Raw genomic sequence first — 16025 nt, 5'->3', positions numbered from 1 at the left:
AGAATCTACCTACCAGGAACTCCCAGGCTGGTGGAGCAGCCTGAGACAGGCACTGATAAATTCTTACAGCATCCAGCCACCTCCTTACCCCTGTCCCCCCACCCCACCAAACTGTACCCAAACAACACAAAATAAAATCTAAATTCTGGCAAAAAGAAATGTGCTTATTATCTCATCAATGCTATGCCGCGAATGGATCATCTCTATTTGATCACATGAAAACCGAGGCTCAGAGAGGTGGAGTGATTTCTCCAAGGTCACACAGCCCAACATATATTTTTCAAATGTAAACTAATGCTTCAGAGGCCTTAGGAGAGTTCGAGGAGAAAGAAACTGACGGAAAAGGGCAAAAGTGAGAGGAAGGGGCCACATCTCGGGACCCACATTTTCAGAAAGAAAATCCCAAATGTCCCGTATACATGGAACGTGGAATTCTCCCCATTTCTTGGGGTAAGCCTTCTGCTTTGGAGCCTTAAGAGGAGAGAAGGGCTCAGTTGCCATGGTTTTCTGATGGCCGGAGCTGGGAATGCACCCTGCAGCTCACAGTGATATTTGCTTGTTTTAGTTGCATCCCGTGAGTCACACTTGACCCAAGCTTTGTCATTGTTTACTTTACTCCTGAAACTGCAGCAGAGGATGGGGCCATATCCTGCCCTTTGAGATGCTGGGCTTCTTTCGTTCATTCTGCCACTGTCGCCAACAAATATGCCTGGCCTTTACTTACTCATCTACTGACTCATTCATTTGCTCAGTCACCCACTCATTCATTCCCATGTCTGCTCCCTCCGTCATTCACCCACTCCCACTCATGCGGTCCTTCCCGTAGTCACCAAAGTGTTCCCTTGTTTCTTTGTGCATTCACTCATTCACTCACTTATTCATTCTTCTTTGAGGACCTGCTACATGCAGTTGGCCTTCTCTAACAATGCGTTCTGCATGTGCGGATCCAGCCACAGGAAGGTGGAAAGGATTTGAAAAAAATAAATAAATGATAACATACAACAATAAAAAATACAAATAAAAATATAGTATAACAATGATTTGTATAACACATTGTATAGATATTATCAGTTATCCAGAGATGATTTAAAATATACAGGACCAGCAAACTATTACAGTGAACCACACTGTAAAATCGGTGGGGGGAGCCTGGGGCCTGGAGAGACTGTGTGGGGCCCGAGGATATAGAGACAGCCACTGGAGGCCTCCCGCCTGCGGGGTGGGAGAAGAGTCTTCAGCGGTGGGCAGTGAGGATGAGTCCAGCACGGTTAGGAAAGCGAGAGAACGGAGTGAATGAACAGCAGGAGGCCGGGCACGCTGAGGAGAATGAGAAAGTGATGTAGACCAGGGGCCGCCGCCTGAAGAGGGCCACACAGGTCATACAGACAAGGATGCTTGTGTTTCTGGGGACCACATACATCCTGTGAGGAGCCCCAGTGGCCCGGAGGTTGGGGAGCTCAGCTCTCGTCCTCCTTGGAGGCGCGTGCCCCCAAGGAGAAAGCCACTAGGCCAAGTGGGCTGTTCTTTAAAGTCTCTGGGCTCAGTTCCGGAAGACAGACTTGGGGGAGAATGTGACAGAGGGGGTGAGGCAGAGCTTCCAATCATGCTCCCCTACTCCTGCAGGAGCCCCGTGTACTCAGGCCACCCCTTAAAGTCTTGGCCCTGGATTTGTTGCTTTAATTACGGTGACATTTTGCATCTGCACACGAAGCCATCATCACCCAGCAGCAGACGTCGGGGGAGGGAGGGAGGAACTCCACCAAGGGCCAGCTGGCCTGCCCCCGAGATGGCAGGGACGCCCTCAGCTCCAGATCCCGCCTCCCCCACAGCCTCGAAGCACTTGGCCTCCAATTCAGCTTCATTTACTCCACAAACATTACCAAGCACCTTCTCGGGGTCAGTGTGTGCTGAACACTAACAGCACTCCTGCAGGTGCAGCTCAGCGGAACTTCAGCATGGCCCCACAGAGCGGGCTGCACACAGCTGGTCATTTGTGCAGCCGGGATTTGAAGGCGGCGGATGTAGCCTCCTACTCCGGCATCACCTTCCACAGAGCAGCCTCCCAGCCAGCCCTGCCCTCAGGGGCTCATGGCCTGGAGGGAAAGACAGAGCCTGCCCCTCTGGGATGCACCCATCTTTGACAGGCAACAGGAGCCAGGGCCAGAGACACTATTTGTTATTGTTCCCAGGTGTCTATGCCCTTGAGCAACAGTGGGAGGCTGACCTTCAGCCTCCCACAGGACGGGGAGGCTGCCAAAGAAGGAAGACAATGACAGGGAGGCAGAGGGAGGGGCAGGTGGGGGCTTTCCCAGGGATGAGGGGTCTGCCAAACCTAAGAGAAAGTACAGCAGCCAAAATCAAGGGGCACAAGCAGGGCGGGGTGGAGGGAGGGGGACACAGTCGGCCAGCTGGAAAGGGCCTCATGCTCTCCTCCCCTGTAGATGAGGCTGCAAACCCCAGTCTTGCCCCCTCCAACACTTGGAGGAGGAACAGGGATCCAGTGGAGATGGGCACGCGGATGCCAGCACAGGGCAGGTGAGGCAGGATCACGTATTGAGAATCCATGTGTGCTTTGCTCTTCTCTCTCCCTTCCCTTGCGGGAGGCAGGAAGCTTGCCTGGGGAGCCTGTCTCTGTGTGAGGCCATGTGGGTTCTAGGGCTGAAAGCAGAAGTGACTGGAACTGGTCCCCTTCCTGCCCTCTCCAAGCAGAGCATGGTGGGCTACTTTATCTCTAAAGAGGAGACTGACTGTCTTTGAGAAGAGATGGGAACAGCAGGACAGAAAAGAGAGATTTTCCCCACAAGATAACATGGCTCCTGCAAACACTGGGGACCCGCACTCTGTTGCCTGGCAGCAGCCTGGACACAGGTCATGAGGGATCCCAGGGCTGCAGGTTGTCCAGAGGCAGGAGCTGGAACCCAAGTGATGGTACAGTGGGTGGGTGGCTCGTAGGGAGCTAATGCAGACCCGAGAATGCAGGCGCCCCCTTGACTATGTGGTGCTAGAAAAGACCCCAGGACCTGGAAACCACCCAGTGTCCATCAGTGGGTGAATGGATGAGCAAACGTGGCATCGCCGTAGCAGGGAGTATTACTCAGCCCTAAAATGGAATGAGCTGGCACACCCGGCAATGTGGACGAGCCCAGAGCATGATGCTGAGTGAAAGAAGCCAGACACAAAAGGCCACATAGTGCAGGATTCTGTTCATGCGAAACACCCAGGGTAGGTAAATCCCGATGGACAGAGAGCAGGCTGGTGTTGCCAGGGCCTCACAGGTGACTGGGGAGTGGCTGTGTTCCAGGTAGAGGGTGTCCTTTGGGGATGATGAAAGTGTCCTGGAACCAGATGCAGGTGATGGCGGCAAAACACTGTGAATGTGCTGAATGCCACTGGATCGTACTTTTAAAATGACTAGCGGTTCATTTTGTCATGTGAATTTTACCTCACTTTTATAAAAAGGCCCCGTCAGGACCTTTGCCCATCCCTGGGGAGGGAGAAGGAGCCCTAGAGCCCTAGCAAAGACCACCCCCAGTGACGTCCTGGTAGCTCAGAATCCGAGGGACGTTTATTTGGCACAACGAGACCGAAAAGTGTGGTCTACTGAGTTTGTGGAGTGGGATTTGTATCATTTACAGAAGAAGGCGTGGGTATGGAAGAGCTATTTATGGGTCTCATGGGGCAGAAAGGGGTGCTGAAGGAATGAAAGGACCCCTTTCATTCATGGGGTGGTGGGACAGGAGGGCAGCCCTGAGGAAAGCCTGGGAAGACTCGTGAGTCCCGACCCCTCCAGTCCAGGCTGGGAAATGTCTCCTGCGAGAAAGGAGGAGTTGCTCTCCTCTCCCTCCATGCACACACACACACATATACATGTACACGCACACACACAAGGGCACAAACACACACAGGCACACACACAGGCACACATTGCTCCAGAGCTCACCCCTCAGCGCCCTGACCCCCTGGCTGCCTGGGGTGCTGTTTGGCCATGCAGGCTGCTGACCGCCAAGGCCTGCTGGCCCACGGACAGTGTCCAGCCTGGGGTCCCCAGGCAGCCCTGTGACAAGAACTGCATGCTGCCAAGAAGCCTCCCAGGTGGCTTTCCCAGAGGGCTCTGCCCCTGCTGTGACAGTGTCATTGAGAAAGGACATCTGGAGGAGCCTCTGAGAGCAAGTGGTTCCCAGATCCCAGCATGCGCACCCAGACAGATACATCCTCCCCTTCAGACTCCACGTGGAAAGGAAACACACACAAAACAATGGCAGGTCAGGACAGGGGGACCCTGCAGGGGGAGCGGAAGTGTGTGCGTCCTCCTGGAACAGGGTATGAGCCCGGCCTCAAGCAGAACAGTAATGCAGCAGACATTTGTCTCTGGGACTGGAGGCCTCGCTCCACAAAGCCAGCTCAGGCAGCAGCCGGTGCCCAGAGAAGGCTCTGGCCGTATTCTCAGAGGGGGCTCCGTCCTCCACTTTGGGGTTTTCTGGTGGTGGGCCCTGGGCAGGTGTGTAGCTTTCCCAGCCTGTCTCCTCTTCCTGGCCTTCTTGCCTGTTTGGGGATCCCACTTCACCTCGAGGCCCCACTCTCCTCACCTGTGGAGACCAGAGGCCGGCCCATCCTTCGCAGAGTGCTTGCCAAGCTGAGAGCCTGGAAGGAGGGGAGCGAGGGCCAGGTCTCTGCAGGTCCCAGCCACCGGTCTGTAGAGCCCTACAGAGCAGCAGCGCTGTGAAGGGGTGTGCGTTCAAGGCTTTGTCTGTTATAAAATGCTCAAGAAATATGAGTAGTTCACGTTTCAAAGATGAGAAAGGGATGATCGCGGTTGACCCCGTGAATGGTGGAATCTTGGCCAGGGCTACTTTGAGGGAAGGCTTCCAGGGACTCTTGAGTCACCCTCTGGAAGGGATGACCTGGCCAGCCTTGAGCAGGTGCCAGGGTTGACCAAGAGCCACATGCACAGAAGGCACAGACCTGGAGATGCCTGCTGTGATCTGGGCCTCTGTTCATGCCTGGAGCCTGTCCATGCGTGTCCTGGGACCCCAGGGCCTGCCAGGGAAACCACAGGTCTCAGACTGCGAGTCAGACTGCTGCGTGAGCTCCACACTTCATCTGCCAGGAGCAGCAGGTGGCATCTAGCAGCCCCCATAGGGTTTCTGGCCCACTTGTTCCTCCCTGGGAACCCGTAACATGCCTGCCCCAAGGAGTGCTGATCAAGGGAAGCATCCCTCCGCAACTGCACTGCGTCAAACGTGGACCTGGCCTTGGTCCGGCCCCATAGCCGCTGCTGAGCGACCACCCAGCCCCAGATGTCATTCCCAGGAGGACCCTGTGTGAGGCTCTACCCCACCAGCTCTCCGCTCAGAGCTACACACAACACGCACTTGGCCTCCCAAGTCATGATGGGAGGGAGCGCTGGCCCCCACAGGACCCCAGGAGAAATTAGATGAATTAGAGGAATCAGAAGTAAACGTTTTGTTAATAAAATGTGCCTGGTAGAGATCAGGGCTGCTGGGAAGTGTTATTGACATAAGCAAGCTAAAATGGGTTCTTCATAGCGAGGGGCAAATGCCTTCATTCATTCATCACGTATTTATTGAGCACCTACTATGTGCCTCACAGTTGAAGAGGTGTAGGAAGGACTTAAACCAGGCGACAGCTTGAAGCCGGCTCTACTTCCCTGCAGAATCCTGTGTCCCCATTCTGGGGCCACGCCACCCCCAGGTGGCAGCTGCTCAGCTCTGTCTGGTGCAGCGGGAATGGGCCTTGCTGGGCCAATCACACCTGGTCTAAATCATGGGCCCTGTACAAGGAATTGTCACCAGAGCTTAGGGACATGCACAGCATCCCCAACTTTCCCCTCTTGACTGCAGGTCATCTGTAGAAAGGATGATGAAAAACTAAAAGCCAGGGGATAAAAAGGGATCCCTCAACCCTGCCAACCAAGTCTCTATTAGGCCTGGGGGGCAGAAGTTTATGGGGATTATTGATCTCCCTTGGCCCAAACAGATGGTGGGGGAGGTGAGACCCGCGTGCAATTACATTCTTTGGTGACACGGCTATATTAAGATCGATTACATTGTGCAACAAACATATGAATCATTCCCAGAACCCTAACTGCTTGAATTTGAATATGCATGAGAAGCTGCCCAGAAATGCCTAAAATACATACATACACATATATATAGTCAAAAAACAAGACAGCTCACGGGGTGAAGAATAACAAAAGGCAATTTGCCACTCTGATGAAAGGGGCCGTGTGCTAGGTTAACTGATGAAGACTCATTCACAATCAGTGTACACATCCAGGGCCCATGGGAGCTTTGCCCACACCATCCCCGTTCATCCTCACCACAAGCCTACACACCAGGAATTATTTTTCCCATTTTACAGATGGGGAAGCTGAGCCTACAGCTGAGTTAAGATCATACTGCGTGTTGGTCAGTCCCAAGGAAGAATTTGAACTGTGGGCTTTCTGCGCCCAAAGCTCTGCCTTTCTGTGCGAGACTCTGTCTCGCACAGACACTACAAAGATCTCACCCCTACCCACTTTAGTCTTCCAGGTTCAGGCTTCACAAAACCACTATTGTCTCCTGCTTCCTGGAGTTCTGCATAAGAGAACCAAGTTTGAAGGAACAATAAGCTGATACCAAACAGCAACAACAGGAAAACAAAGATGTCTTGGAAATTAAGAACCACAGTTCCAAAAAGGGTCAATTAGATGAATGATAAGATGAACACAGTTGAACACCAAACCAACAATATAGATATAGATAATCTATATCTATAGATAAAGATAGATAAAGCCAACAAAATCTTCAAACATAGAGCAAAAAGGCAAAAAAACAAAACAAAACAAAAACACAAAATAAAACATACACACGCACACTAAGTCAATAAGAGTGCTTGGGTAAGAAAACAGAAGAAATGCAGGAGAGAAAGAAAGCAACAGTAGAAGTAAATTTCTCTGGGCTAAAGAAAGATTTGAGTCTTCAAAGTAAAAGTCCCTGCCAAGTGTTCAGTGGAAAAAGTTTACTTTCTAGGTGAAATTTCAGGTTGTGAAAGAGTTTCAGAATTCCAAAGATACAGAGAATTCTAAAAGCCTCCAGGATGGAAAACCGAATGACCTGAAAAGGAACAGAAAGCAGATTGACTTCAGATAAATTAGCCAGAAAGCATCATGCAGCCAAACTGTCAGTCCTGTGTGAAAGCAAAATAAAGGCATATTCAAACATACAGACTCAGAAAGTCTATCATCCATAGATCTATCCTGAAAGATGCACCCAAGGGTATATTCCCAGCAAATCCAAAAAGGAATCCAAGAAGGAAAATGATGCAGTAGCTAAGAAACTAAGAAACTATCCACCAAACCCAGGAAGCTACGTGAAAAAGAAATCATGGATGGCAACTGTGCCACCAACCCCAAGAGCAAATGGTACAAATCCAATCGGGAAATTAGAAGGTCCTGAAAAGAATGTCTCCAAGAGGAAAAGGACATTTGTCTTTAACAAACACTAGAATGAAAAAGCTGCATAATCCTAGTGATAAGAAGAAGGCATATCAAAATACGAAATTTGTAAAAATTACACGCTGTCTTCTTCATCCTGTGGCATCAGATGTAGAGAATGAAATGGATGGAATTGACATTTACATCTGCGGATGTAGAGAACGGGATTCCATCCGTTCTATCCTCTGCATCTGCAGTGAAGAATAGTTGCATAATCATTATATTAAAAACACTGATTATTGGTTTAAATTTGTTTAGAATCAGCTGGTTGTCAAAGCACAGAAATAACTATAGTCGCAGAACAGAGTGTTTGTGTTTTAAAGCTTGTCAATGTAGCAATGAGAGGTGGGGGCCAGGAAGTGGGCAGTGAGCGGGGAGAAAAGGCAGGGGGATCTAGTGGGGCCTAGGGGATTTTCACATAGGGGAATCCAGGAGATACCGACTAGAGCTGATATTCTGAGAAACCGAAGTTTAAGCATGTGACGTAAAGCAGTAATGGTAACTAGAGAAGAAGTAAACATTTTATTAATAAAATGTGCCTGGTAGAGATTAGGGCTGCTGGGAAGTGTTATTGATATAAGCAAGCTAAAATGGGTCCTTCATAGCGAGGGGCAAATGCCTTCATTCATTCATCACGTATTTATTGAGCACCTACTATGTGCCAGACAGTGTGTAGCATGCTTGGGTGGGAGGTGGAGGTTCAATAGCATGCAGAATCTCAATCCCTGTCCTCAAAGAGCTGCCAGTCTAGTGTAAGAGACAGATATGAATTCTATAAATTAAAAAAAAAGGTAAAATTGCAAGTGTGATGAGCATCAGAAGAGAGGCACAGGGTGCAGTTAGAGTGTAGCTTAGACACATTTGAGATCAGGGAAAGAGACAAGGATTCCACCCAAATCTGAAGGACGTAAACAAGTTAAACAGCGGAGAGAATGTTTCCATCAAGGGAGCAGCATGTGCAAAAGCCCTGTGGCAGGGGGAGCCAGAGAATGAAAGAAAACCAAGATATGAGAGGGTAGAGTAAGAAGAAGAGAGAGCAATAGACAGGGAGGCTGGGAGGTAGGTGGTGGACACATGCCTTGTGGGCCCTGTGGGCTGGGTTAAGAATTTGAGCCTCAAAGGATTGGGAGTAATTACCATGTTCTGTTCCAAAGTATGGACTAAGAGATAAAGTTGTCTGTCTCATTTCATGAGGCTAGTGTAACCCGGATACCAACACCTGAAGAAGATAGCCCAAAACTAGAAAACTATAAGCCAATCTCACTCAACAATATTTAGGCAACGATCTTAAATAAAACATTAGCAAGCAGAATCTGGCCACGAATTAAAATAAAAATGCATTATGACCATATAGCTTTTACTCCAAGAATGGAAGGGTATGTAAACATTAGGAAATCATTTCATCATTAATCTTCACAGAAATACATTAAAGACATATAAAATACATGAAAATATATCATTCCAATAGATAATGGAGAGCTGGGTGGCTCATGCTTGTAATCCCAGAACTTTGGGAGGCCAAGGTGGACAGATCACTTGAGGTCAGGAGTTTGAGACCATCCTGGCCAACATGGTGAAACCCTGTCTCTACTAAAAATACAAAAATTAGCTGGGTGTGGTGGTGTGCACCTGTAATGCCAGCTACTCAGGAGGCTGAGGCAGGAGAATTGCTTGAACCTGGGAGGCGGAGGTTGTAGTGAGCAGAGCTTGGGCCACTGTATTCCAACCTGGGTGACAGAGTGAGACTCTGTCTCAAAAAAAAAAAAAAAAGATAATGAAGAAACACTTAAAAAGATGTAAATGTTCAACGCTGAATTTTAAACAACTTTTTGAAACCTAGAAATGAACGAAGCTTCCTTAACTTGAGATCTACCAGAAGCAGACATCACCAGAGAAAAGATGCTGAAAACCACAGGCTACAGAGATCCCAGCCTATGCAGAAAAGCAAGACACAATGGCACTTAATTGTAGGAGTGAAGAAACAAAACTGTCCTTTGCAGATAATATGATTTTTTTTGTTTTTAGATAAGGTCTTTCTCTGTTGCCCAGTCTGGAGTGCAGTGGTATGATCATGGCTCACTGCAGCCTCGAACTCCTGAGCTCAAGCAAGCCTTTCACCTCAGCCTCCCAAGCTGGGACGACAGGTGTGAGCCACCGTGCCTGACAATAATATGATTTTTGAAACCTATAAATCAAAGGAAAGCAGCTGAACAGTCATTAGAACTAATATGAGAACTCAGCAAGGCACTGGTTCTCAAAGTGCTATCCAGGGACCAGCAGCATCAGGCTACCTGTCTGTGTGTGTGTTAAAAAGGCAGACCCTCGGGCTGACCCCAGGCCCACTGAATCAGAAGCCCTGGGACAGGCTTAGCTTTGTGTCTTTCAGCAAATCAAGCCATGCGTGCGATGCTAACACACACTGAAAGTTTGGGAACCATTAGTTGAAGGCACTAGACTACCAGAAATGTAATCATCTCACTTCAAAACCATATACAAATAAATAGGTGGAAGGGTTTTGGAAAAAAAAATTCTTTTTACAATAAAATGGATAGCATGATAAATTTGCAATCTCTAGTCAAGGTTTGTGTGTATGTGTATGTGTGTGTGAATGTGTGTTGTAATGGCTTTGAGATATAATTTACATACTATGCAATTCACCCATTTAAAGTTTACAAATCACTGGTTTTTAGTATATTCACAGATACTTGCTACTATCACCACAGTCAATTTTAGAACATTTTCATCACCCCAGGAAGAAACCCTGTACCCCATAGCTATCACCTCCCTATCTCTCCTTTCTCCCTTTGCTTCTCTTCCCCTCTCAGCCACTTTCTGTCTCTACAGACTTGCCGTTTCTGGACATTTCATATAAATGGAATCACGGTGGTGACTGGTTTCTTTCACTCAGCGTGATGTTTTCAAGCTTCATTCATCCGTATGTCAGCACCGCATTCCTTTCTATGATAATGTCCCATCCCATGTCTAGACCGCATTTTGTGGCTGGAAGGGAGTTTGAGCCTGGGCTCCAGGGCAGCCTTCTCTGTATTGCCTGGGACAAGTCACGCATCTCTTCAAGTCTCAGTGACCCCATCTCTAGAAGGAGATGACCAGCCCTACCCAGGGAGCCTGGGAGAGCCATCCAGGCGGCCAGGGCGCAGGGGACAGCCCAGAGGTGTCCGAAGGAAGGTAACATCGAAACTGATCACTGACGAACCTGGGGGAGGCTCTAAGCAGGCAGAGGGCAAAGAGAGCAACGGGCTCCAGGCAGAGCCCCCTGGAGTTTAGAAAAAAGAGAGCGAGCCCCGCTGGCTTTTAAAGAAGTGGTTCTCAGCTTGGGTGATTTTGCCCCTGGGGGACATTCACGATGTCTGGAGACTTTTTGGTTGTCGCCATAGGACGGTGGGGAGAATACCATTGACATCTAATGGGTAGAGGCCAGGGGGACTGCTAAACATTCTACAACTCACAACGCAGCCCCCAACCAAGCCCCCAAACAAAAAACTATCATATCCAAAGTGTCACTAGTGCCGAGTTTGAGAAACCCTGACTTCCAGCTTCACATGGTTGTGATCATGTGGAGTGCTGGAGAGGAGGGTGGTGCAGACAGTGAAGTGTGGGAGACACTCTGAACAGCTCAAATGTTCCCCCAGGGTAATGGGGAGCCATGGAAGGCTTTAGGCAGAGGGGTGATCCCTCGGATGTGTGTTTCAGGGGGAGCTTTTTGAAGAATGTCTGGAAAGACTTCTAATGGTTCCAAATAAGCAAGAAATGGGATCTCCTTTGTTGACTCCAGGTCCTGGGATACCAGAGATCTCCAAACCAGAAAGGGTGTTTGTTCTTCGCTAGTGGACTCCTATCAAGCTGTCGGTGGACCCCCTCTGACAGAGTGTTCCTGGGACAGAGGCAGGGCTGGGGACACACCCTGGGAGCTCCCCAAATCCCTCCCTGGGAGCTCCCCAAATCCCACCTGGGAGCTCCCCAAATCCCTCCCTGGGAGCTCCCCAAATCCCACCTGGGAGCTCCCCAAATCCCACCTGGGAGCTCCCCAAATCCCTCCCTGGGAGCTCCCCAAATCCCACCTGGGAGCTCCTCAAATCCCACCTGGGAGCTCCCCAAATCCCTCCCTGGGAGCTCCCCAAATCCCACCCTGGGAGCTCCCCAAATCCCACCCTGGCTCCAGTCACACCCAGGACTCATCCCAGTGAGGCATGGAGAGAAGCCCTGTGCATGGGCACACACAGAGCTACTGCAAAGCTCATGTCCCCTCTCCTCTGCCTCAGAGATGGTAGCAGGTGCCAACACACAGGTGAGTGCCTTTAGGGGACCCCTCCTTGCTGGGCAGGAGCTTCTGGCCCTCCCTGCTCCAACAGCAGCCAGGCCCTCCCATGAAGCCCTGCTCAGCCCCTTACCAACCTCTTCACTCACTGCACACACACTGAGGCCCTGGGCCAGGCTGGGCTTAGGGCTTCTTGGAAACACATCTCCCCGAAATGTGCAGTGTGCTTCTAGTCAATTCTGTGAGGCAGGGAGACCTGACACAGCCCGTGGCCTGAGGCACTAACATGGGTAGGGGGGTCGGGGGAGGGAAGACAGGCAGCAGTGACAAGACAAGGAGCTAGGCGCTCTGATCAGAAGAGGCCAGGGAACTCAGAGAAGGACAGCACGCCCAGACTGTGTGGTCAGAGAAGGCTTCCTGGGGGAGGTGACCAAGAAGATGTGCCTCAAAGCATAACCATGAACCATGGGGCTGTTGCGCCTTGTCCTCCCTGGCAGGAGCAGCACAGTAATTGCCAAGAGGTGTAAGGAAAGTCTGGGTGCGGCGATGCTGCTGCCTGCCCCGCAGTCCTCGGCAGCACCACAGCCATCTCTCCTCAGCATCCTCTCCTCCTTGCTGTAATTCCCACATGGTGACCAGAACCCAGCCCTACTCCAGTCAGGGCATGGCTGGCCCCAGCCACAGGAATGTCCCAGTTCTGGCCAGTGAGCAGCCATGGGGTGTTTGCTAGGGTCAAATTCTACACAAAAATTCATGCTAGCAGAAGGGAGCCAAGAGTTGCCAATGGGAGATAAGGGGGCACACTCCTAGCCTAACAAGATGAAGAGAGAGGCCATTAAGCTGAGGTCCAGCGGGGATGGGCAGGTGCAGAGTCTTGCTGCTGGGACAGAGGTGTTCCCACGGGAAAAAGGCTGGACAAGATCTTGTATCTCCTGGAAATCACAGAATCAGCAGGAAGCCTACTAAGCATTGAAGGGAGAGGTGTCAAAGAAATCCTCAACACAGCCGACCAAAGCCTGGTCTACGCAACACAGAAGGTGGGCCCCAGACCTGCTCCTGGCTGCTAGACCCATGCGGGCCTGGCAGGGACCCTCATCGCCATGTTGGAGGACAGTCATGAAGGAAGTCTCCCAGGGGACAGACCAAGGACAGGGTAGGAGAGTGGACCAGGGATATTTTCCCAAAGTGCAGAAGCAAAGAGTGCCCGGCTGTTTTGGAAGCAGTGCTTTTTTCCCCAGTGTATGATAAGTGCTATGGGCCAGGGCCAACTAGGCTGCCTGTTTTCCAAATGTAAACTTTGAACATCATTTTCCTGCCCTTTCTCCAACACTGGGTACTTCGAGTGTGTGGGTAGAGATGATTTTCTGTGACCAGAAATCGTCAAACCCTGAGGCTCGACATCCAGACCTGAAGGGGACAGAGGCATTTTGCAAAGGCCTGGTGGGCCGCCTGGAGACAATGACTGCCCGTGCCTCCGAGTCTGCCTTGGGGAAGATGTTTGAATTTCATGTATATATGAAAGGTGTGTCAGCCCATGTGGACATTGAAGACTACATATTGTACACACTCCATCAGGCATGGCTTTGTGCTTTGTCATTCACTGTGCTACCCCCAGGTGCTAGAATGACACCCAGCAGATAGTAGATGCTTAATAAAAATGAACTGCATGTGTGTGTGAGTATTGCGTAGACAAAGGAGAGGGCCGTGGAGTCTCCCCACCATCCCACCATTCAGCCCACCCTCACCCCATGCAGTCTGGGGATTGACACCTGGCACAGGATCTGAATAGTCCAAGCCAGTCACAGTAATCTTGACCCTGTGTGAGCGCTGCAGAAACCCAGGCCTCAGCAAATGGCTGTCCCCTGCACACAAGAATGGACTAAAATACGAGCATATCATCCAATGTCTGCCAGTGAAAAGTAAGGGCTATCTGCAGGGGGCTTTGGGGAATGCTTTCTTCGCTCTGGAGCAGGCTGCAGGAGGCAGTGCCTCTCCCGGCTCTGGGTGCCGCTGGAGAGGTGAGGCACATGCCTGCTGCAGCTGTCTTTCTACCAGCCCACGTGTGGAGGAGGCAGAGCTGGGACAACTGCAGAGAAGGGAGCCGAGCCCCTGGATGGAGCCCAGCCTGAAGTCCACCTTCTCTTAGCTTTAAGTCAGTGTGGCTCAGATTTCCTGGTCACTTGCCACCAAAGCACCCCGTGTGAGCACAGGGAGAGAAGCTTCCAAGGGATGCCAAGGAGTTTGGGCCTCACCCCGAGGGCACTGGGGGTTTAAGCAAGGCGATGCCTTGCTCAAGCTGGGGGTTCTTTTGACAAATCCCTTTGTTATGTAGAAAATGGCCGAGACTGGAGGCAAGCGATACGTGAGTGGGCTTTTGCGGCAAACCAGGCTACAGCGGGTGAGGCTGGGACCCTCTGGCCCTGTGGGTTCACACATTCTTGGCCTCTGAGGTGCCCTCTTTCCTCAGAAAGTGCAGTGGGGGTGGGAGGGGAGGGGACTGTGTATCCCAGGGTTGGTGTCACCTCAGACCATCCCCCAGGAGGAAGGCGGGACATGGCCAGGACCCACTGGAAGCAGAGAGCAGGTGAGGGGCTACGGAGGAGGGGCTACGGAGAAAGGGCTGCGAATGTTAAAGGAAACGGAAGCATCCCCTCCCATCTCCCAGCACCATTGCACAGCACATGCTGCCTGCTCTCAGTGCGTCCCCTACTCTGAAGTGAGCCCCCACCGTGCCGCCTGTGGCTGGGCTGCGGAGCCCTCACCTGCCGGCCTTGCCCTGGCTCTGCTCAGGGAAAATCTCTGGAAACCTCTCAGTGCTTCCTGCCCGCACTGGGAGGGCAGAGAGCAGGCAAAGCCTTGTGATCCATCATGCCGAGGAGAGACTGGGGGCTAACAGGGAGGGACTCAGTTAAGGTGGCAGCAGGGACACCCGCTCCAGCTCCACTCTGGTGCCCTGAGGTGTTTGGGAGCTGGCCAGGCCTTCTCTTCCTCCCTCCACAAAACAGGGTGGTGGAAAGCTTTAGGGGGGAGCTTAGAAAATGCTTGGTGATTTTGTCAGGTGTGGAAATCACATTGTGGTTATTTTATTTTTGGAGCTGCATGATGAAGTCTTCAGGGAAACGCGTCTGCGTGTCTGACACGTTTAAAAGGTTTAACAAAATGCGAAATACTAAGAACGTGTATGTAGTGGTTATTTTGATGATAGAATTTATTTTTCTGTGTGTTAGAAAAAATTTATAGTAATGACACTTTTAAAAAGAACATTTTTAAAAAAAGGAAGAAAATACCAGGGCCAACAGTTCTCAAAGGGTATCCTTCAACACACTGGTTCTGGGAGATGTGGAGGGATGTTCTGTGACCAAAGGAAAGAGCACCCTTCTCCCTTTCTAGGGAGGCAAACAGGCCAGAGAACGAGAGGAGCAGCCTGCAGAGGGCACGCATCGCAGGCTAGATCCTGGGGCTCCAGCTTCTGGGCCACAGTGGGGCTGCCCCAGGAGGGAAGGCAGAGAGGGTGAGCCACATGGGTGTAGCTCCGTGGAAACAGGCCCCCAGACACAACCCCAGGTCTGTGGCTGGCCTGAGGGTCTTCCCTCACTGGGCCGGGCAGGGGCCCAGGATCAAAGGCAGAGCTCTGCAGAGGTGCATCCCAGCTGGGCAGATGCTCATTACTGGAACTTTCTGACCAAGGAGTCTGAGCTTCCTCACGAAGGATGCCATTAGGGGCTCAAGTATTCAATGTGAGCATTTAGAGAGGGCACTTCTCTGTGCTGGCAGCCACTGGCAGCTAGGTACAGGGCATGGAGGTGAGACACGGACCCCATCATCAACAGACAAGACAGCCACATGCAGAATTTGAGGACGAGAAGTTCTGGGTGTGGCCACCCCAGGGCACAGCACCGTGCACAGAGTGGGTCCATCCCATAAACATTCGTTATGTACCAACTATGTGCCAGGCACTGCCCCGGCTGCCAGAAGGTACACCTGTGACCCGAACACAAACCTGTCACCCTGGGACTCACACCACAGCTCAGGTCACTGTCCCACAAGGGGCAGCCCAAAGGTGTCATGAGGCACAACAGGGAGGCACATGTTCCCCAGGTTGGGGTGCATGCCCTGGCCCAGCCACTGTGCCGCGGGTCAGTGGAGAGCCTGGACAAGCCACTTAGGCGCTCGAGCTTCAGGTTTCTGGGAAATGTGCACAAGCTGGACACAGAGTCGGTCATTGAGAGAGGCCAACTCTCGGTCCGTCCCTCT

The 16025-nt window shown here is 51.1% G+C and overlaps 1 annotated feature.

Moving 5' to 3' along the window:
- Positions 301 to 1500: an enhancer, noted in NCBI's record as "P300/CBP strongly-dependent group 1 enhancer chr2:11075650-11076849 (GRCh37/hg19 assembly coordinates)". NCBI's record gives its function as "activates an origin of replication core promoter dependent on BRD2, BRD4, P300/CBP, MED14 and CDK7 cofactors, with strong dependence on P300/CBP, by STARR-seq in HCT116 cells {active_cell/tissue: HCT116}" and the evidence as "EXISTENCE:reporter gene assay evidence [ECO:0000049][PMID:35650434]".

Source organism: Homo sapiens, chromosome 2 (genome assembly GCF_000001405.40).
Source record: "Homo sapiens chromosome 2, GRCh38.p14 Primary Assembly".
In the NCBI taxonomy this organism is placed as follows: Eukaryota; Metazoa; Chordata; class Mammalia; order Primates; family Hominidae; genus Homo; species Homo sapiens.
Note: the sequence above shows the minus strand (reverse complement) of the source record. Positions and strands in the feature narration are given on the sequence as shown.